At 46.5% G+C, this 22,794-nt stretch overlaps 2 long non-coding RNA genes across 4 annotated transcripts; both read right to left on the reverse strand.

Annotated features, from left to right (window-relative positions):
- Positions 1-9,775: 9,775 nt before the first annotated feature.
- On the reverse strand, positions 9,776-16,804 carry LOC107986261 (uncharacterized). 3 transcript variants are annotated; one of them, XR_001741596.2, is made up of 5 exons: positions 16,717-16,804; positions 15,597-15,789; positions 13,295-13,377; positions 11,652-11,753; positions 9,776-10,777 (listed from the first exon to the last, which is right to left on the reverse strand). It is a non-coding gene; the product is annotated as an uncharacterized LOC107986261 (long non-coding RNA). The 3 variants fall into 3 exon arrangements; XR_001741597.2 differs by having other exon boundaries at positions 9,776-10,476; positions 10,558-11,753; XR_001741595.2 differs by having other exon boundaries at positions 9,776-11,753.
- Positions 16,805-20,181: 3,377 nt separating this feature from the next.
- Positions 20,182-22,065, reverse strand: LOC105374502 (uncharacterized). Its single transcript, XR_925430.3, has 3 exons — positions 21,671-22,065; positions 20,843-21,010; positions 20,182-20,516 (listed from the first exon to the last, which is right to left on the reverse strand). It is a non-coding gene; the product is annotated as an uncharacterized LOC105374502 (long non-coding RNA).
- Between the last annotated feature and the right edge of the window lie 729 nt (positions 22,066-22,794).

Below are 22,794 nucleotides of genomic sequence, written 5' to 3' on the forward strand. Positions count from 1 at the left end.
CTCTTTATAAAAGCACACCAGTCAGAATAGATTAGGGTCCACCCTCATGACCTCATCTTAACTTGCTCATCTGCAATGACCCTATTTCCAAATAAAGTCACATTCACAGGTACTGGCATTGGGACTCTAATATCTTTTAGGGATACATAATTCAACCAGTAACAGTGTCATTATTATAGATGGAGTAATTGATGCTCGGAGAAATTGACCTGTCTAAGGTCATCCAGCTGACAAGTGGTAGAAGTGCAATTCTGACTTGGATCTGACCAGTCCTGGAGGCCAAACCTTTAACAACTATGCTAAACCAGCTATCAAGGAGACAAGTCTTAAAGTGCTTCAGAAATTCTTGCTCAGTGATTACCTCTGTGGACACAAAATCATTCATTCTTTTATTCATCCAACAGTTATTGAGCATCTACAGTGTGCCCATGCCAGGCTTGGTGCTAGCATTTGGGATCTATCCATGAAAAAAACAATAATCCCTGACCTCAACATTTACACACAGTCGCTAGAAGTTGATAAGTGCTCTAAAAATAGAGAAGAAAAGAATGAAGGAGAGAGCTTTGGAAGCATTACAGCAGGGCTCACTGAGAAAGGATTTTGGGTTGAGTCCTGCACGGGGTGAGGAGTGAGCCAGGTGGTGAGGACAGAGGACAACCAAAGCCAGGCCCTAAGGCAGGAGCAGGCCTGGCCTGTTCAAAGAGCTCCCAAGAGGCCAGATGAAGTAACTGAGTGTGGATAACTGGCAGAAAAGACCTGCTTGCTCAAAGTCAAAGCCAATCAATGGCTAATGTGTTTTCAAATCCCACCTCCTGCTTCCAAGATGGAAGGCCTTACCGTGAAAATACAGGTGGCGATGTGCAGACCTAGGGCTGGAAGTAAAGACATTTTCTCCAGGAGCTTTCAGTGAGCATTTGGTCTGTGACAGCCAGGCTCTCTCCTTGACACTTACGGACATAGAGGTGACTTCAACCCCAGCCCCAGAAACTTTTTGTTTGGACCTGGCTGCTTACACACTGTAGGTACTCAATTAAACTCTATTAAATGGCAAATAATGATAGTGGTTAGCAAAATGCAAAAGGAACAACAACAAAAGAAACCTGGATCTATCTGAATGTGACAAAGTAATGATCATAAGCCTAAGGAAACAAGGCCTTGGAAAACTGAGCTGAGGTTAGAGGATTTTAGAGATTAACTGAGTTACAAATTTGCAGAAGGTTAACATTTATATGCATGTCATTCTGCATGTTTCAGGAGCCATTTAATACTGTCAAGAAGTACTAAAATGCACAGACCTAAAAAAAGGATTTGTTGCTTTCAGAGATACCTAATTTGAAGATGGGTTAAAAAAAAGAAAACAAAGTAAGTAAAATTAACATTGAATTCTAAGGAAAAATTCCCCGGTAAGGAGACCTAGAGATGGAAGGAATGCTAATGAACATTGTAAGGGTACACTGAAGTCAAATTTAAGTCAGTAAAATTATTAAAGCTGGGTAATAGGTATCAGGGGTCTGTTTGGTGCAGGTTTGAAAGTTCCCATCATAAAAAGGTAAAAAGAAAAGGGAAGAAAAAAGTTAATGGCTGGAATGCTGGAAAATGGAGGTGGCACCAGAGCCCCTTGTATTAGTCCATTTTCATACTGCTATGAAGAAATACCTAAGACTGCGCGATTTATAAAGAAAAAGAGGTTTAGTGGACTCACAATTCCACATGGCTAGGGAGGCAAAGGTATGTCTTACATGGCAGCAGGCAAGAAAGCGTGTTCAGAACTGGCCTGCATAAAACCATCAGATCTCATGAGACTCATTCACTATCATGAGAACAGCACAGGAAAAACCCATCCCCATGATTCAATTATCTCCCTTCGGATCCCTCTTATGACAAGAGGGAATTATGGGATCTACAATTCAAGATGAGATTTGGGTGGGGACACAGCCAAACCATATCACCCCTTAACAAGCTGCAGGGAGGGTGTGCTGGAAGCAGGGTGCAAACCCAAGGGCTGGGTGAATCCAGAGTAAAGACCAGAGTCAGCAAGCAAGCAGAGTGCTGTCATTGATATGCTCAGCCATTTTCATCACATGAAGTCTTATGGAAGGAAAATGTCAAATACTCAAAGGCTTAATGAATAAAGGATGGCTTTTATTGGCCAGGCAGCAACAGGGTCTCTGGGGTAGACCAACTTGGGTTCAAATCTGATTCTGACACATCTAACTCCATATGTCATCTTGAACTTCTTATACTTAACCTTCTACGAGCCTCCATTTCCTCAACTGTAAAGTAGAACTAATAATGGTAGCACTGCTGGGTGGGTGTCATGAGTCTTACATGAGACAAGGCATGCATGGCACCTGCACAGCAGAGGGTTCCAGTAAGAGTTGGTGCTCTCCTCCTGACCATTCAACCTCTGATTGTATTTAGGGCAGCACAAGGATCCTTCCTTAGAAGGATCCTTGCTCCCTGCCATCCTACAGGTCTATGACTGGTTAGATAAACCAGATAATGTAATATCATAAAGATGCTAGAGGCACGGATCATAGCGCAGCTCTGACTCCACCCCAATCCCACCCCTGAGAGAGGCAGCTCTTTGGTAAAATTGTGCAGGGAAGTACAAAAGGGCCTCAGTCTCCCCACAGCTTGTCCTCACAATAAAACACAGTCCAAATGCATCCTAGATGGGGCCAAATACATTCCTAAAAGTGAAACCAATTTAGTATTTTCCTTCTGCCATTTAAAAAAAATACAAGTTTGTTCCTTCTCCAGAGTTCTCTATTTTAATTAATAACTTCAGTCTCCCAAGAGGAAAATTCAGCCTCATCTATGGTATTCGTCATGTGGATCCAACCATGCAACCCCTTTTCTTGCTGGGGACCCCCCATTTGTGTAGAGTAGCAGTGGGACACAGCTACTCACTTTTCACCACAAAAACCTAACAATCGTCGTTCCATGCACCTGTCACACACCCAAGCATGACCCTTTCAAGGCCTGGCTCGTTGGCCACTTCTGCCCGGGACTTTGTCCCTGGAGTGTGTGATGCAGGACATGAGGCCAATCAGACATCAGAGTAGCGGCAGGGGTGGTGGTGTGGGTGGTGCCAGGTGCCAGCAGTGGTGTCCTGATCAGGCTGTACCTGACCTGGAGTGCTGATTCCGAACTGCAGCCTCCTGACAGGGCCAGGAGCCATCCAATACCCTTTGGATATATTCCTCTTCTGAGTATGATTAGCCAGAGTTGGCTGCTGGTGATCCCTGATTGATTAACACACCACCTTCAACATTGCCCTCATCTTCCTTTTGTAATCCATCCCCTCCTCTACAGTCTCATGGTGGCAGTGCTAACTCAGCCACTCGTGTACTGTGTGGACTCATCATATTCCATGTACTGTGTAAAGTCCCTCAAAGTCGCAGCTCATTGCTCACTCACTGGGATTAAGGGGAGGCAAGTGATTTGCCATGCAAGTACAGGTTCAGATCCTGTCTGTATGTTAAATTCGAGGCATGTGTATCATGGAGCTTGAGGCATAAATATGGATTTTTAAAATATTGCATTAAGTATTATTTACTATAATTAATGAGCTATTTGGGAACGCCCTTAAATTTTGTGCTGGCCCTTGAGTGACTATGCAATACTGATCAAGACCATAGCTCATCCACACGCTTTCCTTCCTTCACTAAACAAACTCTTCAGAGCATTGCTTTGCATCCAACTGTACTAGGCTGTAAGGATGCAGAGGTAATTAACACCAAGTCAGGCCTTCAAGAATGTCATTTGTCTAGTGGGGGGGAACAAATCAATGCCACTTTGAATTCTACATGCACCAATAAAGGGAGAGTACAAGATAAGCATGCCCATAAGGCAGGAAGTCTCAGTTCAACCCCGTATGAAACCTTCCAGAAAATGTTTCCCAGGGCTATGATGCTCCAGCTAACTCATTAGAATGAAAAGTGTGTCCGATGAAGAACAAGGCTAAGAGGAGAGGTGCCCTGGGCAGAGGAGTTAGCACACACAGGCGTGTCCAGATTCAGTCAGTGGTATGGTGGGGCTGGATCGTGTGGGCTGGGACATAATGTTGGTAAAAAATGAATAATGATAGAGGAATCTAGAGCAGTAAGTTGGAGGGGCTTGGGATGTGGAGGCGCTCACATGCCATGCTGAGGAATTGGGACCATCTGAAGGCAATGGGGAGACATTGAGGATTGTAGAGGAAGAAATGATTGACATTAGCTGTAAGAAGATTACCCCAGAAGGAGGGTTGGGGAGGAGAAAGGTGTGGGGAGAGAGGAGCCTGACAGGAGTCACCCAGGTGGGTACTCAGGGCTGGTTCATGGGCTTGGCATTTTGGAATAATCCATTAGGTTTAACCTCTTCTTGTGCTGCTTCTTTCCCCCTAGTTGCTGGCAAGCAAAGTGCAACTATTATATGTAGCAACTGTCCACTGGCCTCAACACCCTGGGTCTACAAAATAAGGTCTCCTTTACACTTACATCCCAGCTAGAAAGACTCCATGCCCTGCCCTCCTCTTGCCTCAGCAGGAAATCAAGTGCCTCTTACAGCACCTATGCAGCATTTCTGGGGGTCCCCCACCACTCAGGGCCTGACATGTTCTTAGGCTCTAGCTCTGATGGTCATGGCCAACAAAGCCACCTGATGAGGCCCTTCCACTGCCCCTGCTGACCGAGCCCATCCTGAGACACCAACTTCCCTGCCACCGCTATCTCCAGATTCTTCCAGAGCCCTCAAAACTTGGAGCTCCAGGGACTGCTGCATAGATCTTGGGAGAATGGCCTTCTCCCCCAAGCGGGGCTATAATTCGGACTTCAAAATGGCTATGCACGTTCCTAGAAATTCCTAAGAGTCCCAGGAAGTGTTTCATTAGCTTCAAGATCTTACCCCTCAGATGAGAAGGATGCTAATATTCGCATCTCCCATGGGAGTGGCGGGGCAAAGCCTCTGCCCCGTCTCCCCCATTGTCTTCCAGGACCCATGCCCGAGTTTTCGTCTCCATCCAACTGAGAGCTAGACTTTCCCAACAGTGTTCAGAGCATGTTTGCTTCTTGGAGCCATGGTCTCAAATGCTTCCACCTCAGAAGACCTCTAGTGTTCATTTGCATAGCTGGAGGCTCACTGGGGTGGGCAAGATTTTCAGAAAAACAATGGGACAATCTGAATATATCCAAATGTCCACTTCTTCCAGAGACATGTCAGCTTTAAGTTGCTCTCCCCACTAGGTTTCCAAGAGCCAGGCCCAGCGCGGGTGAAGACTGTGTGTTTCCCCAATGCCCTAAATGTTGTCTGCCAGAGGGAAGCTTCCATGAAGCCTGAGACAGACATGGTAGGAAGCTCAGCCCAACGTGATGGCCCCGAAAGGTCCATCTCTTGGGTGTTTCATTTTGGGCCGTTCCCCTTTCCTCTGATCCACATCACTGAAATTTTAGATTCCCATGAAATGTAAATTCTGCAAGGGCAGGCGTCTTGATCTGTTTTGTTCACTAAAATATCCCAGGAGCCTAGAAGTGTGCCTGGCACAGAGTTGGAGCACAATAAATATGCATTGAATGGGTGAGTGCCTATTCTCAGTAAGCAGGTTGTGTAGTGAAAAGAATATGGGATAAGCATCTAAACCTGGATTCAAATCTGGCTCTGCTACATGTTAGTTGAGTAGTCACTTTAAACCCATCACTTTACCTCTCTGCACCTAAGTTTCCTCATCGGAAATGGGGACTATAGCTGTATTTTAGAAAGAAGTGAGGTATAGGCTGGGCTTGATGGCTCACGCCTGTAATCCTAGCACTTTGGGAGGCTGAAGAAGGCGGGTTGCTTGAGTTCAGGAGTTCAAAACCAGCCTGGGCAACATGCCAAAACCCTGACTCTACCAAAAATACAAAAATTAGCTGGGCATAGTGATGCACTCCTCAAGTCCCAGTTACTCAAAAGCCTGATGTGAGAGGATCACCTGAGCCCAGGAGGTCAAGGCTGCAGTGAGCCATGATTGTACCACTGCACTCCAGCCTGGGTGACAGAGCCAGACTCTGTCAAGGAAGGAAGGAAGGAAGGAGGAGGAAGGAGGAAGGAGGAAGAAGGAGGAAGGAGGAAGGAGGAGGAAGGAGGAAGGAGGAGGAAGGAGGAAGGAGGGGGAAGGAGGAAGGAGGGGGAAGGAGGAAGGAGGGGGAAGGAGGAAGGAGGAGGAAGGAGGAAGGAGGAGGAAGGAGGAGGAAGGAGGAAGGAGGGAGGGAGGGAGGGAGGAAGGAAGAAAGGAAGGGAAAGGAAAGGAGGGAAATAAAAGTGAGACATACATTAACACACAAAGAAAATGAAATGTGACTGTAGTGTGAAGTATATTGTAGGTGCTAACAGATATTTCTGCCCCTCTTTCCTCCTTCCCTTTCTTCTACAAATATTATTGAACACCTTCTATGTGTGTAGGCATCAAGCCAAGTGTTCAGGACACAGCAAGACCAAGATAGTGGAGGGAAAAGTTTACTGTCTAGTTTGGGAGATGGATAAAAAAATCTGGAAACAAATAAACCAAACAAATCATTTCAAAAAGTGCTCAGAACTATCTGCCCATGTCCAGATTTTAATCGAAGTGGAAATCTCTTTTGTTCCTGACCCATGGGCCAATGCTGGGTGCTAACTGGGGTCAGGGGCTGGAGATTCTAGGCCTGACTCGGCCCTTGACCAGAGATACACAGACTTGGGGAACTACCTAATACTTCCAGGCCTCAGCTTCCTCATCCAAGGGCAGAATCTCTGAGATTCTTCTCATGGTCCAGTGGTCTGTGATTCATTTTTTTTCCCCAGGGTCAGCACTATATTGGAGTAAGTTTGTGATTTGTAGGGAGCTTAATATTTTAATTTATGAAAGGACCATTAAATTCCTTGCTAATAGACACTGTCATGCTGCTCAGCAGCTTCGTTAGCCAATCCATCCTGAGTCTTAAATTAAAGCCAGGAAACCCCAGGGTGTCACTCAGTGTTAATGTCTTGAAAGCATTAAGAGGTTTATAGGAGCTTATATTAAGCTTCCCAGCCACCTTCCTTCTTGAGTCAGCTTCCATTCTGCTCCAGCTTTCTAGATGCCACTCAGAGCAGCCCATGTTGGCAATGACTTTGATGGTGGTGTTTCAAAGACATTTTAAGTACAGTCATGTGTTGCTAAATGATGGGGATATGTTCTGAGAAATGCATTGAAGGCTATTTTGTTGTGCAAACATCACAGAGTGCACTTACTCAAACGTAGATGGTCTAGCTTACTACACACCTATGTATATGGTACAGGCTATTGTTCCTAGACTACGAACTTGGACCGCATGTCACCGTACTGAATACTGTAGGCCACTGTAACACATGGGTAAGTATTTGTGTATCTAAACATAGAAAAGGTACGGTAAAAATATGGTATTATAATCTTATGGGATGACCAAGGTGTGTATATGTGGTCCATTGTTGACTAAAATATTGTTATGTGGCACACGACTGTAACTGTGCACTGTAGAAGGCATTGCTCTGCAACAGCATGTCCTAGATGTTTTCGTGACATGACAAGTATGTTATACTCAGGGTCAGCTCTAGACAAAAATGTGGAGTATGCATAGGAGGAAGAACATGGACTTTGGGGCCAAACAGACGTAAGTTGAAGCCTATGTCCGCAGTATCTTGTGCGATCTTGGACATGTTTTTTCATCATTCAGAATTCCAATTTCATCATTGACAAAGTGGGAATAACAGCACCTATTTTACATGGTCATTGTAAGGATTTTATGGAAAGGACAGAGCTGGTGCTCAGTAGATTGGGGGCCTCTTAGAAGCTGCACCTCCATGTCACTCTCTGGAGTCTCTGCTCCCATCTGCTTTCCCCACTGTCCACCCTGGGTATGCAATCTCTGCCTCTTCCTCATTTTCCTGTGTCAGACATGAGCCTTTGAGGTATTCCTCGTTTTCCTATGTCAGACATGAGCCTTTGAGGTATTCAGAGATTTGGGGGAACTTTTCTCTCTCCTTAGCCCCAATCCTAGCACTGGAAATGACTTAGGCTCAAGCATCGCCCCATCCTACCAGCCACCTGCACATGAGAAAAAGGAGATTCCAGGAAGTTGTGTGCATGGAGTGTTTTATATCAGAGGAGTTAAAAGCGTGTGTTCTGGAGGTATATTGGCTGTGATTTACGGTCTATGTCCCCTTGATGAGTTATCTGACTTCTCTGTATTTCCGTGCCATCATCTGTATATTATGGCTAGCACCTAATACAGCATAACACTGTGAGGATCAAATGAGTTAATACACACAGAGCTTTGCCCAGCAACTAACATGTATTATTTCCAACAAGTATTTATTGAGTGTCTGCCCCATGATGGCTGGTGTCTTTTCTACTGTCACCGTGTCAGTCAGTGGGGAACAAGTGATTAAATCCCAGGTCTCTGACTCAAAACTGACCCTCTTCCCAGAGTATGCACATTTCCTCTTTCTTCCCTCCCCATCTTTCAAGCAGGAAAATGGGGAAGAAGGAAGGAAGGAAGGAAGGGAGGGAGGGAGGGAGGGAGGGAGGGGAGGGGAGGGTGGAGGGGAGGGTGGAGGAGAGGGGAGGAGGGAGGGGAGGAGGGAGGGGAGGGGAGGGAGGGAAGAAGGGAGGGGAGGGAGGGAAGAAGGGAGGGGAGGGAGGGAAGAAGGGAGGGGAGGGAGGGAGGGAGGGAGGAAAGGAACAGGTATAGGATTTAAACCTGCCCAGCATGCTCTCCCTCCTCCTCTGGGTTCAACTGAGCCTGAGCTCACTTCCATTGAGTGGAAGACAATGGATTCTATGGGGGTTTCTACATTTGATGTTCATGTCTACCTTTATCACATAGTGTGTGTAGACTCACACTCTCCCCTCAACCACAGATTCTTCATTCAGAATGGTCCAGTTCCAGTTACTGCACAGCTGATAGAGACAGTGAGGCTGGGAGGAAACAGGACAGATTTCACATCCAGGGCAGAACAAATGATTTCCTCCCTCTCATTCATTTGCCCGTTCTTTCATTTAAGAAATACTGACTGACTCTGTGTCATATACTGTGTAGTATTTCATCTAACCCTCATGAACCACACAATGATGGAGGCATCGTCCCATTTGCCAGATGAGAAAGGTGAGGTTCTAGAGGTAAGGAAATGGCAGAATGAGAATAAGTCTGTCTCCCTTGGTCTAGCACTGGATCATTATTGATCAAGCACTGATTATTATTATTATTATTTTAAGAAACAGGGTCCTGCACTGTCACCTAGGCCAGTGTGCAGTGGTATAATCATAGCTCACTGCAGCCTCAAGCCCTTGGGCTCAAGTGGTCTTCCCTCCTCAGCCTCTCAAGTAACTGGGACTACAGGAATGCACCACCACATCCAGCAAATTTTTTAAAATTTTGTAAAGATGGGGGGGTTTATTATGTTGCCCAAGCTGGTCTTGAACTCCTGACCTCAAGTGATCTTCCCACCTTGGCCTGCCAAAGTGCTGGGAGTACAGGCATGAGCCACTGCACCCAGCCCATTGATTATTTTTTAAGTCATCAAACATATTTTCACTTGACTGGTGGGAAATTGTCTAATGTATTCCATAAATTTACCCCAACAAGGCAGAGAATGAAAAAGTCTGAAAAGTGCCCTATTCCTAGATCATAGTGATAAGAAGGTGGGGTTAGTCGATCAGTTACCCCTATCTGAGGGTGCCAACTCCCTGCCACGCACTACTCTTGGGGCGGGTCATCACTCATGTGGTGTTCTTGGAGCACCTTTTGCTCCAGTGTAGGCACCACAGTTTTCTGTGCAGAAGCAACATTGCCCTGATGCACTCTTGTGTTTCAGAAGGAAAAATACCAGCCAGGGATGCAGAGGGCTGGGTCTGGTTCCACCTCTACCACCTACCAGATGTGTGACTTCAGATAAGCTGATTAACCTCTCTGAGCTTCTGCCTCTCCTTTCAGGAGTTCTGAGAGTGTCCTCATCTCTGCTTGTGCTCCTTTTGAGTGTTCCTTAATTTGCACTTGGTCAAAGTTTGTCAGGGCAGAGCTATTTACAGTTGTCCAGGAAGCGGAACTTTCCGTGAAAGTTCTGGAGACTTCCATTCATCCCACAAAATAATTCGCATAAATAAATATCAGGCTCAGATGCAAAGTTTCTTTTTATAATAGAGAGGAGACATTTGAGAAGGAACTGTTGCTGTGCTGAAATAGCCACTACAATCATGTTTTTGCCTCCTCTTTGACCTTTCTGTTCTGGGAAGCTCCTTTGGGAAGGAGTCCCTTAGAAATGTATTTCCAAAACTTATTTGGTGATAAGATTCACCTGGGACCCTTGAATAAACAAACAAATAAACAGAATGAGAATCCCAGGTTCATCTTCTGGAGCTGTGATTCTGCAGGTTCAGGTGAGTATTCTTACAAGTGTCCCCAGGCCTGGGTAATTCTTGTGGTCAGATGGACTGGGGGAGCCTTTGCAGATCCTGGAGCCCTGGAAATGAACTCAGCATCCAACCCTGTCATTTAATAGTTGGGAAAACCGAGACCCAGAAAAACTGAATGTCTTACTCACCAGCTGTCACCAGCTGAGGCTAAACTGAGCCTTGAGTTAAGGTCCAGGGGCCAGGAAGAAGTTGGAAGCAGGAGTTTGATCCTTGATCTGCCCGCTTAGTAGCTGTGTGATGTTGGCAAGTATTCTGTTCACCTCACAAAGTATTCCTTGTCAAGGGTCCAGATATTCCGGACGGTCGTGGTGCCATCAGGTTTTTGGGATTGTGCACTTGGCTTAAGTGCTGACGGGTGAACAAGAGAGAAGTTGACCTGGCCTTGGTGACTGGAGCCCAAAGAAAGAGACCAAAAAGAGCAGGTACTCCCAAAAGTGAGCAGTATGACCAAAGTAGGGGGGGAACCCTAGGCTGTACGAAGCCCTACCCAGGCTGGTCTGCGAGAGGCAGGAGTGGCTTCCCTGAGAAACAGAAGGTTGAAGATGGTTAAGGTGACCAGGTCTTAGCCAGATAAAGAAGTGGAGGAGAACATCGCAGGCATCAGGGAAATGCACACGGGCCAGGTAAGTACCAGAAACACGGTCTCGGGTGGAATCACCAAGTAAGAGAGAGAGAGAACAGAAGGCAAATCCATGGTAGCAAGGCAATGCAGAGGGAGGCTGGTGCAGAACGTGCAGGATCTCGTGGCTGCCCGTGTATATGTTCCATTTAAAGGCAGAGCGAAGTCACCCGAGGATCCAGGAGAGGGTCATGGTGCCATCAGATTTTGGAGGCACATTTGTGAGCTGAGAATCATCATCTGAATATGGCGGGGGGTGGGGAGTTCCTGATTTTCCTCCTGCTTTCTGACCCCTCTGTGGTCTAATTCTCCACCCAGTGTCCCTAGCAATGCTTTCATAATGGAAGCCAAATCCTGTCACGTCTTTGCTCAACTGCCCTGACGGTTCCCATCTGATATAGTTTGGATGTTTGTCCCCTCCAAATCTCATGTTGAAATGTGATTCCCAATGTTGAAGGTGGGGCCTACTGGGAGGTGTTTGGGTCATGGGATGGATCATTCATGCATAGTTTGCTGCCCTCCCAGCAGTAAGGAATTCATGTGAGATCTGGTTGTTAGAAAGAGTCTGGGACCTCTCCACTTCTCTCTTGCTTCCTCTCTCACCTTGTGACATGCTTGCTCTCCCTGCTTCCACCATGATTTTAAGCTCCTGAGTCCTCACCAGAAGCAGATACTGGTGCCGTGCTTCCCGTACAGCCTGCAGAACTATGAACCAAATAAACCTTTATAAATTACCCAGTCTCAGGTATTTCTTTAGAGCAACACAATACAGATTAACACACTATCTCATTCCTTACTCAGCACAATGTGCAAAGTGCCCAGTGTGGCTTGTAACTATCTGTCCTAAGCCCCAACACCCACACCTTCCCCTTTCTAACTGGACACCAGTCGCGCTGGCCTCCCTCAACATCAGGCAGCCTGCCTCTCGAGACCTTTGCACTGACTGCTCCCCATGCCTGGGGGCAGAGGGGTAAGCCCCAGACACCTCCACAGCTCCCTCACTCCCCAGGCCTTTCTCGACTGCCTGCCACTCGCTGACCGAGCAGCTCAGCTTTCCTTTGGTGCACTCACACCTGTCATCACTTACACGCATTTGCCCAATTCTTTCCTGAATGCTTGCCCATTAGAAGGTAAGCTCCATGGCAGCAGGAACTTGGGTCAGTTTGCTTCTGCTCTCCCCATGGTCTGGCACAGAGCCACCAGCCAATAATATTGTTGGGTCAATGGCTGAACAATACCTACCTTGAATGTTTATTGAAAAGCTTGAACAATAGAATTACTATACACATAGCACTAGTTGCAGTACGTGGTCAGTGAGTAGAAGCTTCCTCATTTCTTTCTATTGCATCCTCCCTTCCAGACTTACAATTAGAAGTTATTTGCAGGACATCAGTCACCCCTGGGTCCCCAGCTGACTGCACTAAACCCTCTGCCCTGCCTGCCAGCACCTGGCTCTGTCCTTGACTGAGCTTGTTGTTTGCATTTATCTTGTGTTAGCTTAGCTGTGTCCCTAGGGAAGGAGATGTTGGGGGGACGGGGGAGTGGCAGGGCTGGGGGTGTGCAGTTACTGTACAGTGCGTTGGGATGGTTGGGAAGCTGGTGCCTCTCAGATCCAGTCATTGCTCTGGTTCCTCTGGACCCTGTGTGATCAGAACCTAGAGGTGGTCATCACACCCATGTGACACCAACTGCATGCCAGAGCACGTAATGAATCAGGACCATTGTGCAGGGACAGAAAAAACAAAGCCTTCCTTGAGCCTTGACTAACAGGTTCTTCTCCACTGACCCCAGCACAAATAGACTGTGCTCATCTGGATGTCTCTGGCAGTGTGGACTTGGGATCATGCACAGAAGCCTACTTTCCTCCCCACTTCCTATAGCATGGCTTGAGATTCCCAGAGTTAGCAAGGCTGTTTGTAGTAGAAAGGCCCAGATGACCATCTGAGAGGGCTTTCTCCTCATTCTTTCTTTACGTACAACTCACATTGACTCAAATAATAAATGGAGACATTTGCAAGCTTCTTTGAGAAGGCAGCATTGCAAACTGTCAAGGAGTCTGATACCTAGTTCAAGATGTTTAACCTGAGAGGCTCCTGGATCGCTAAGGGATTTGGATGTGGGCCCTGAACTTGTATGCAAAGCGTGGGTCTATTGTGGATATTTGTGGAAAGAGGGTCTGCTGCTTTTCTCAGATTCTGAGAACCAACCTGTGAAAACGTCTGGCCTAGAGATGAGAAATGACTCACCTGACTCACAGCATCACTGGCCGCCCAGCCTCCACCTCCATGTCTGCTGCTATCCACAACCTGTGTCTGTGAGGTCGTTGGCACTGTTGAGAACAAATGATGAGCAAATAAATAACAGCAAAGCCAAGGACTATGAAAACCAAGCTTAGGGAAAAGAAAATACATCAACACGTTAACCATGATTGCCTCTATGAGCAGTGGGGCAAAAATCTTTTTCTTTTTTCTTCTCTATTTAATTTTTGTGTATTTTCCAGATTTTCTATGAAAAAAACATTTAAATTTAATTATCATCAAGAGGAAAACTTTAAGAAAAACAAATAACTGTAAATATATAAATGTAGCTCCATCCAGCCCTTCTTTATATAGTTTTTTAGGGTTTTTAAAAGGGTTGCTATTGTTCAAAGTTTATAGGTTAGATATTTTGGGAATCAGCTTTTCTGGGGAAAAAAAGCATGAAAGTTTTAGAATGCATTCATTTTCTCTCTGGAGGCATTTAGTTGAAGAAGGAGTTAGTGGACATGCTTTAAAGGACAATTTTCATGCTCTGATATATTCTATTAAACGGCAAGCTGCATCCATTGGAAAGATGCCTTTTTACGATTAGTTTTGATATGGCAAAGATTTTGGTTCACTTAACTATTGTAAAGTTTTACTTCTTTAGGGACCAAGCTAAATTCAGTGAGCTACATTTGCCCTGAGATACCACACCAGGGTAGCCCTCTATTTTTCTACATTTTAGCTTCAATGGAGGTTTTCAAATATGAATTCTAAACTGTTGCTTCAGCTGATGAACTCAAAGTGACAGCTATTAAACTCACTATTTATAAGATTTCCTAGAATAAATTTAATCGTCATAGGAATACTTGCAGTCAGCTGTCACTGTTGCTATAAATACCTCTCTTGCCTTCTCAAGTCCCAAGTGAGCCAACACTAGCTCTGGCCTCAAGACAAAAAGTTAACTAGGTATCACTAATTTATGTGACCTCACCGTAGTCAATTGTTTTGATTCACCTGGGGTAGTTCTCTGTGTAGTTTAGACTCTCTCCACACAAAAAGACTATATAAAAGTATTCTCATCCTCATGGAGAAAGGACACATGGCTTTTATTTACCCTTTGGCATGTTAAAACCAGGCTTCCAAATCTATGCCTGATGTGTAGCTATGCTGTCTACTAGAATCCCATCTTGAATCTGTAGGGATAAAAATAATTTTAATGAGTATAAGCCATTTTGTCTTTAAATATATAAATCTGACTTCAAACCCTGGTTCTGCCTGTCAGTAGCCGTGTAACCCTGGGCAGCTCACATAACTTCTCTGACCATCCTCTGCAAAACAGGGATGGTAATACACTTCAGTAAGATTGCTGGGAGGGTTTTTGGAAATAAAGTATATTATCGCATTATTACCACAGTGTATAGCATACAGCACACATTCAAATTCATTTCATTTTCCCCACCTAATTCTCAGAGAATAATGTCAATTTTATTCAATTAAGCAAACATTAATTGGGCATTTGTTATGTGCAAATTACTAGAGATACCAGCACTTCATTCATGCCTGTAAGAATCCTAGCCAGGTGCTGTGGCTTGCACCTGTAATCCCAGGGAGGCTGAGGCGGGAGGCTCGTTTGAGGCCAGGAGTTCAAGACAAGCCTGGGCAACATATGGAGACCTTGTCTCTGTTAAAAAAATAAGAAAAAACTTAGACAGGCTTGTGCCTGTAGTCCCAGCTACTCAGGAGGCTGAGTAGGGATGATGCTGGAGCTCATAATTTGAGACTGCAGTGAGCTGTGATCATGCCCCACTTTACTCCAGCCTGGGTGACAGAGTGACAGAGTGAGACCCTGTCTCAAAAAAAGAAAACAAAAGCAAAAACAAACAAACAAACCAAAAAACCTCCCTATCTTCCAGGGAGGATAGAGCCTTTGTCCTTTTTTATGTCTTAATTACATCAGATTGTAAAAATGCCTTAATCAAACTATCAAGAAAAGGTTCTGGGATCCAAGGAAAAGGAATATTAGTTTCACCTGGTATGATTTTACAAACAAGGTTACAGAGCCTTCAGTTAGCCCTTGAAGGATGAATAAGTTCTGGCCTTAAAGAGGAGTAAGATTTTGGAAAGCTGAGAATGAAGAGGGAACAGTAAGATGCAACAGCAAGAGCACAGCAAGGAAGAATAAATGTATGGAGTGGAGTCAAAGAATCCTCTGAAGGGACAGATCTTGGGAGAAATGAGCAAGTAACAGAAAGATAGCGGGACAGATAGGAGAAAGGGCCAGGTGGAAATAATCGTGGCTTTTCACCATTGCATCTGGAGTGTCCCCACTTCTTGACGCAAAAGTCTTAGAACTGTAGTAGAAGCTAAGTTGACACCTGTTGTCTTCATTCACTCAACAAATATTGATTGAAACTTCTATGTGACAGGTCCTATTTGAGGTGCTTGGAAGTCAACAGTGGTCAAGACACAGTTCCTGTTGTCATGGTGCTTACACTCCACTGTGGCAAACAGACAATAAAGAGAGAAACAAATAAACATACTGTAGAATATAATTGTAGGAAATTAGTGTTGTGTAGTAAGAGAATGTGTAAGGGATAGGTAAGAGTTGTTCTTTTCCATGGGGTGGTCAGAGACCTCTCTCTCAGATATTTGAGAGGACTTGAGTAAAGTGAATACCCAAGGGAAGCACGTTCCAGGCAAAGTACAGTGCAAAGGCTGGGAAAAAGGGGCCGGCTTCATGTGCTCAGGCAACAGCAAAGATGCCTGGATGGGTCCAACGCAGGGCTAGGAAATGAGACCAAAGAGATATGGAAGAACACTGATAAGGTTTCCCAACCCCAAGTTCTGTAACCCACTCTCTGCTCCTGCTCTGACTCTTGGAGTCTGGAGTTTAAACCTAGGCTTTCTGGGACAGATTCTCTTGGCTCCCTGCTGGCTCCCTCTGTCCTTACAAACACCCCTGACCCTCGGCACACAATCCTTGACCAGTCTTTGGGCAGAAAACCCACTGAGAAGGGCTTCAGTCACTGGGGTGGCTCTGCCTCCCTCACTGGCATCCTGATCAAATGCTCCCCTCGATTCTCCAAGGTTGGCAGCAGCCAGGGAGATTCTCCACCATGGGAGGGCCTTTCCCTCGGGGACCTCACTAGTGTCATCGTATCCCTGGCATGGTGAGGCTTGCCTGTTCTTTAAACTCTGATCTATACCTGAACACAGACTCTTCCCTCAATTTGCCCCAACCCAAATGAGATCAAACCCGATTGTTTAGCAAGATTTTACAGAAGACCTAAACATAAACAGAGTAACTGACAACTGCCCACTGCTGCCCACGGCTGCTCTCAGAACCTCAAGGCTGCCCATAGCTGTCCCCTGCCTGGCTCAGCCTTCTCCAGGGCCGTGGCCACCGCCTCCATCACCCCCATCACCTGGCACCCCTCCTCTCTATGCCTGGGAACTCCTGGGGTCCAGATCCACGAGAAAGGAGCCCACAGAGAAGAAAGCAGCAACTTCTACCAGCCTAAGGCCCACCTCCAAGCTACTTCCTGTCCCAGCATTCTACCCTTCCTGCCTGATTGACACTGGGAACAGCCACTCTCTGGGGAGACACTGCCCAGCACCCTGGAAGCTTGGAATCCCCCTCAGTCTCATCAGAGCATCAGAGCAGTGTCCTCTCAGGGTCATTCCTGAGATCACAGATATCCCCACAGGAGGGTTTCTCATGGCCCCATTTGGTGCACTTGGATTTGGTCTGTCCCTGCCCTGAGCTGCTTAGGGTGGGAACTTTCACCTGGTCTGGCCCCTCAAAGATCAGCTCAGCTCATCAGCACCACGCAGCACTGGGAGTCAGGAGCCTGGCAAGGCAGCCTTCCTGCCCACACTCTGCCAGGACAGATGCTGCATCTTTGGGAGGCAGCTTTGGGGCAGAGTGGACTCACAAGAGGGTTTCTTGAAGACCTGCTCAACTCAGGGTGGGGACATGGTTCCTTTTACCCATCGGGATCTGGCTGAGGAACTCTGACCCTATTTACAAGACAGATTCTAAAGTCAGTGGTGCAGAGTAGTGCAAATTCAAGTGGGATATGAAGGGAATGGAGCCTGAATGAGTTGCCAGGAGAACAGAGACAGAGAGAGGTCATACTGCATTACATAGTTGTATACACCAATATTGAGTATATGTAAACTTGGTAAAGAAGATACAAGAGCAAACTTTAATTCAGGCATAGAGGCTGTGATTAATTCTGATTTCCAAGATGAAGGGCCATTGCTGAGGAATGGAGGTGGGGGGTTGAAATGCAGATTGGCTGACTCTGGGCCTGGGAGTTTGGTTACTTCAACAGACTGCTTGTGAAATGAAGAGGTCTGAAGCATGAGGAAGAGAAAACAGGGTCTGGAAGAATTCACCCAGCCGGGGTGCCCTATGACATTTTATGCTGAGTTGGGACCACTATGACATTTTATGCTGAGTTTACAGCACATGTCCCTCCCAGAGTGTACAGTGGAATCATCTGCAGTAGGGTAGGGAGTCACCCAGCAAAAATCCTATGTGAGTTGCTTCTATAACCCAGGCAAGATGAGGACAAAAAATGTCCCCGAAAGGAAGCCTCCCTTTCCTCTAGGAGAGTGACATTTATGAATGCTTACCCATCCCTGATTTCCTGTCATCATTGCAGCTACCCTGTTACGGGCTAACTGGTGTGCCCCAAAACACTCATACATTGAAGTCCCAATCCCCAGTACCAGAGAATGTGACCTTATTTGGAGACAGGGTGTTTATAGAGGTAATTTGTTTAGTTAAAATGAACTCATTATGGTGAACCCTAATCCATTATGGCTAGTGCCTTTTTAAAAAGGGAAAATTTGGACACAGAGACAGACATGCAAAGAAGGAAGACAATGTGAAGAGACACAGGGAGAAGGCCACCTACAAGCCAAGGAGAGAGGCCTGGGACACATCCTCCCTCAGAGCCCTCAGAAGGAACTGTTGCAATCTAATCACTCCTTAGTTCAGCTAGGTCCAAGTTCTTGACATGCAACCAAGAAGAGTAAGGCACGTGGCCACCAGAGAGTGAGTAGAGCGGAACAGAGTTTTATTAAGCAACAGAAAATATCTCAGCAATGAGAGACAATCCAAGGAGAGTTAACAAAAATGGGGATGAGTTCCGGGTCTTTATGTGGCAAAGACAAGGAAGTCTTCTGTGGGTTCTGCCCACGTGGGAGGGGTAAAGTTCCCCCTTGGGGATGTTGCATCTGTGCAGGCCAAGATGAGAACATTTTTATTGTCCTCATCTTTCCTGGGTGGTAGAAGCAACTCATGAAGGATTTTTGCTGGGTGGCTCCCTACCCTATTGCAGGTTATCCCACCATACATTCTATGAGGGGTTGGCCATAGTGACTTCATCTTGGTTATCACTCATGAGTGCCTAAGTGAAACATACATCGGGGAGAAGGGAGGGGGAGGGCTAAAACACAATGCTAATGGCATGTCAATGACATTATAATGAGCTGGGTTAAGTTAAGGACTTTTAGGTTAATTCATTGCGCCTGCACCTAGGTTGGCACAGTCCCTTCTGAGCAACATCCTGGCATTAGAGGAAATTCTTAACCACATTTCTTTCCACCAGCAACAGGGGTAGCGCAGGCGCTGTCCCACGGGTATTTTTCCACTCCTGAGACCTGCCCTCTCTATCTGGCTAACCAGCCTCTAACTGCCTTCTCTCTCAGAACCAACCCTGCAACATCTTGATCTCAGACTTCTGGGACAATACATACCTTGTTTAAGCTACTTGGTCTGTGGTACTTTGTTACAGCAGCCCTCAAAAACGAATCCACACTCTGTGAGAGAGGAGTTATTATCTGTTTTGCGGATGAGGACACTGAGGCTCAGAGAGGTTGGATGTTCCCCTCAAAGGCCCTCATATCCAGTAAGAGGCAGGGATTTTGGCTTCCATGAAATTTTCCACTGCACTGAGCTGCTCCTCTCGAGGCAGTGAGAGGTTTGGGGTCCCTGGGGTTTTCCCACACCTGGCACAGGCTGCACTCTCGCGCTGTAAACAGAGAAGGCTCTGTAATTAGGATTATTCTCCACTCTTCTGTGGTTAGGTAACAATGCTGCCAATTATCTCCCTGGTGCTTACATGGGACAGAGCACCTGCCTCTCTGAGGGGGTGCCAGGATCCCATTCCTGGCAGCCAAGAGGATGAAAGGCCCAGCAGTGTGTTTCCTTGTTTACACTGCAAAGCTGAGGAAAGCCTTGGTTGTGAGGCACCAGCTCTTTCAACCCGAGGAGCCCTTCACCCACCTCAGCCTCTCACACCTCTGGGAGCCAGAGGCTGGGCTTTTATTTCCCCCTTTCACAGACAAGGAAACCCAAGCTCAAGGAAGCAGAAAAACTCACCCAAAGTCCCCCAGCTAGTTACTGGCAGAGCTGAGAGGCAAACACAACCTTCTGTTGTCTCTCCATAGAATTCATCTAGTAACCATTACTGAGCACTTGCTGTTTGCACTGAGGAAGGCGTGGAAGGATGTAATCATGAACCAGCCTTTCTACACCATCTGGAGGTGTCTCCTCTGAGTGTCCTTAAGGCTGCCTTACCAATTTGGTTTCTCAAAAGTGTTGAAACGGAATCAGGGTGCTCCTATGTCAGATGCCCCAAGACCCACATGCCCTGAGGCTACAAGGCAGGTCTGATGCGACCACAGTACCTTGCCAGCTTGTGCGGAACAGGCTTTTCCCAAGAGGCAGCAAAGCGAGGAGAAAATTCCAGGTCAGAAGATTGCTCCGGACATCCAGGTTCTATTCCCTATTTCAATTTCAATAATGCCGTGAGAGCAGCTTTCCAATTTTTTGCTCAGTGAGGGTCGGGGGTAGCAGGTTTGAAAGATGGAGGGGGTTTAAGGGGGGAAATGATTCACCTTTAATGTCCACATTACAGGTAAAGAATTTAATGATTATGTTCAGAAACAGGCACATTTATTCATTCCCCCATCCTGCTGGGCCCTGAAGGGACTGTTGCCAGGATGAAGACAGGATTCTGGGCTCTGAGCCATCAGTGGAGTGGAGGATGGAGGTAAAAGGCAGGCCCAAGAAAAGGGCTGCAAGGCGCCAAGGGACCTGATGAGTGCCTCCTCCTCCTCAGGGGTTGTGGGACCACAGACGGAGGGTCCGGCCCCTCCCAGAGGGTCAGGGAAAGCTTCAGCAGGGGAAGTTCTCAAATGAACCTTCTCCCTGGAGGAGGATGAAAAGGAAAGTTACTTCCAGTGCATCAAGTCACTGAATAGGAATTAGCTACCTGCATGACCCCACCCCCCTCTCTTTTTATTTTTATTTTTTTTACATTGAGGTGAAATTCACATAACAAAAAATTAACCATTTAGAAGTGAACAATTCAGCGGCATTTGGCATTTTCACAGTGTCGTGCAACCACCACCAGTATCTAGTTGCAAACTTTTCATCCTCCCAAAAGGAAACCTGTTCCCCTCAAGCAGTTGCTTCCCATTCCCCCGCCAATCCCTTGACAATCACCAGTCCGCCTTCTGCCTCTATGGATTTACCTCTCCTGGGTATTTCAAATAAATGGAATCATTCAACACCCCCTTCTTAACAGCATGCAGAGCATCAGGCTAAGGGCTGGATTGGGGTTTCTGTTTTTGTATATTTCAACCACTGTTGAGACCATTTTGTGTGTGAAAATCAAAGTTACACATTCTGTGGTAGAAAACCTGGAAATGGAGAAAAGTCCAAAGATGAAACTTAAAATGACAAATTTCACTCTGTTATTACCTTATTTATAGAAAGATAGATAGAGCATATTAACTATGCTAATACCTCAGAGACACACCTTCCATTTTCCCCCTTGCGCAAAGGTGGATGGGCAAATAGGCTGCTGTGTGCCCTGGACTGGTTTCTTAAACTCTCTGTATCTCATTCCCTCACCTGTAAAATGACGATGTGAATTGTACCCACTTCATGGGTTTATTGGGAGGATAGAATGGGTGAAAATGGTGTGAGCCACAGAGCAGTGCAGCACACATCAGTTATCATGTTTTTCTGTGCAACTCAATGACACGAGGCTTGTTATATCTCCAGAGGAAGAAATTGAGGAGTCAGGAAGGTGTGAAGTAACTTGCCAAATGACAAAAGAAAGCAAAAATTCTTTTCTGAGTACCTCTATGTGCTAGGTCATTATTGTTGGCCCATTTACCAGAGAGGGAAATTGAGGCACTGAGAGGTTGAGAGTGTCCCAAGTCACTCAGCTGTTTCAGGGCAGAGCTGATTGACATGGCAGGCTTTGTATGTTCCTCCATCCCGCCCCACTGCCTTTTCCTGTGTGACAATGCCCCTTGTCTGTGACTAAGAGTCACCCGGCCAGGGCCTCTCACCTCTGGGTGGTTCCAAGCATCTGCTTCTGCCTTCCTGCTTGCCCAAGGTTGCTGTTTACCTCTTCTCTGGCTTCTCACTGTGGTCATCTCCCGGCTATAACTGCAGGCACTCTTGCAGTGCTTCCAGGAAGCAGAGGCAGGGGCCAGCTCTGTGGAAACAGGTGTGTTGGTCCCTGAGTTTCTGTCCTCAGAGTGTTTCAGGCACTGCTCTGAAGCTTCACAGGGCCCTCAGGCGATCCCAGGCCAAGAGACACTGTCAGTGTCAGATACTGAGCCTGCCCTTCCAGAAACCTCTCATATAAGCCTCTCAACTCTGCCCTGGGAGAAGGGTTAGGCCCTCAGAAATACAGGAAAAAAGCCTCGAGGCCTTGTTGAGCAAGGAAGACACTGTCTATCTCAGGTCTGGCTTCTCATCCAGAGATGCCAAGAGCTCAGGGTGGTTGGTATTTGGTCCTGTAACCAAAACAATGTGATCAGCCTGTAGGGCATTCCCCGAGATTCCACAGGAGGGCCACGAGACTGCAGCATTTTCCCAGGATGCTAATTAAAAACACGGAGACCAACATAGCATCATAAATAATTCAACTTGGAGAGCCCCAGGGACCCAGGGTCCATGCTATTGCTCAAATCCCTCCAGAGCAGGCTGGTTCTTGCAGTTCTTCATCTTTCTAAAGAGCTTTTGGAGATGAGGGCACTTCCTGGTAGGCAGCTGCTTCCCAGTCCCTGGGAACCCCAGGACTAGAGGCCCATATAGCTGCCTGGGTCCCGGCATCCCCAGGGACATGAGAACGTTCACTGACTAAGCCCACCCTGGTGGCACCGCCAGCTTGGCCTGTAACTTGTCAAGTGGGAGTTGAGTCTGGAGGCAAAATTCCCTCTCCTCAGTGAAATTTCACAGCATCCACTTGGCATGATATTGGGCAGGCCATCTGCTTTCTGAGCTCCCAGCAGGTCCACAGGTAAATCCTGTATGAGACCAGCTTCCTGTTGTCATCTATGATCTTCTGGGACTCAGCTGGCATTGCTGGTGGGCTGCACGCCCTGTTACCCCCATCAGCTGAAACTGTTAAGTTGCCATTGCATCTGCCTGAGATCATGGTTTTGAGAGGTAGTGGAAACAGGTG

This window comes from Homo sapiens, chromosome 4, assembly GCF_000001405.40.
Source record: "Homo sapiens chromosome 4, GRCh38.p14 Primary Assembly".
Lineage (NCBI taxonomy): Eukaryota > Metazoa > Chordata > Mammalia > Primates > Hominidae > Homo > Homo sapiens.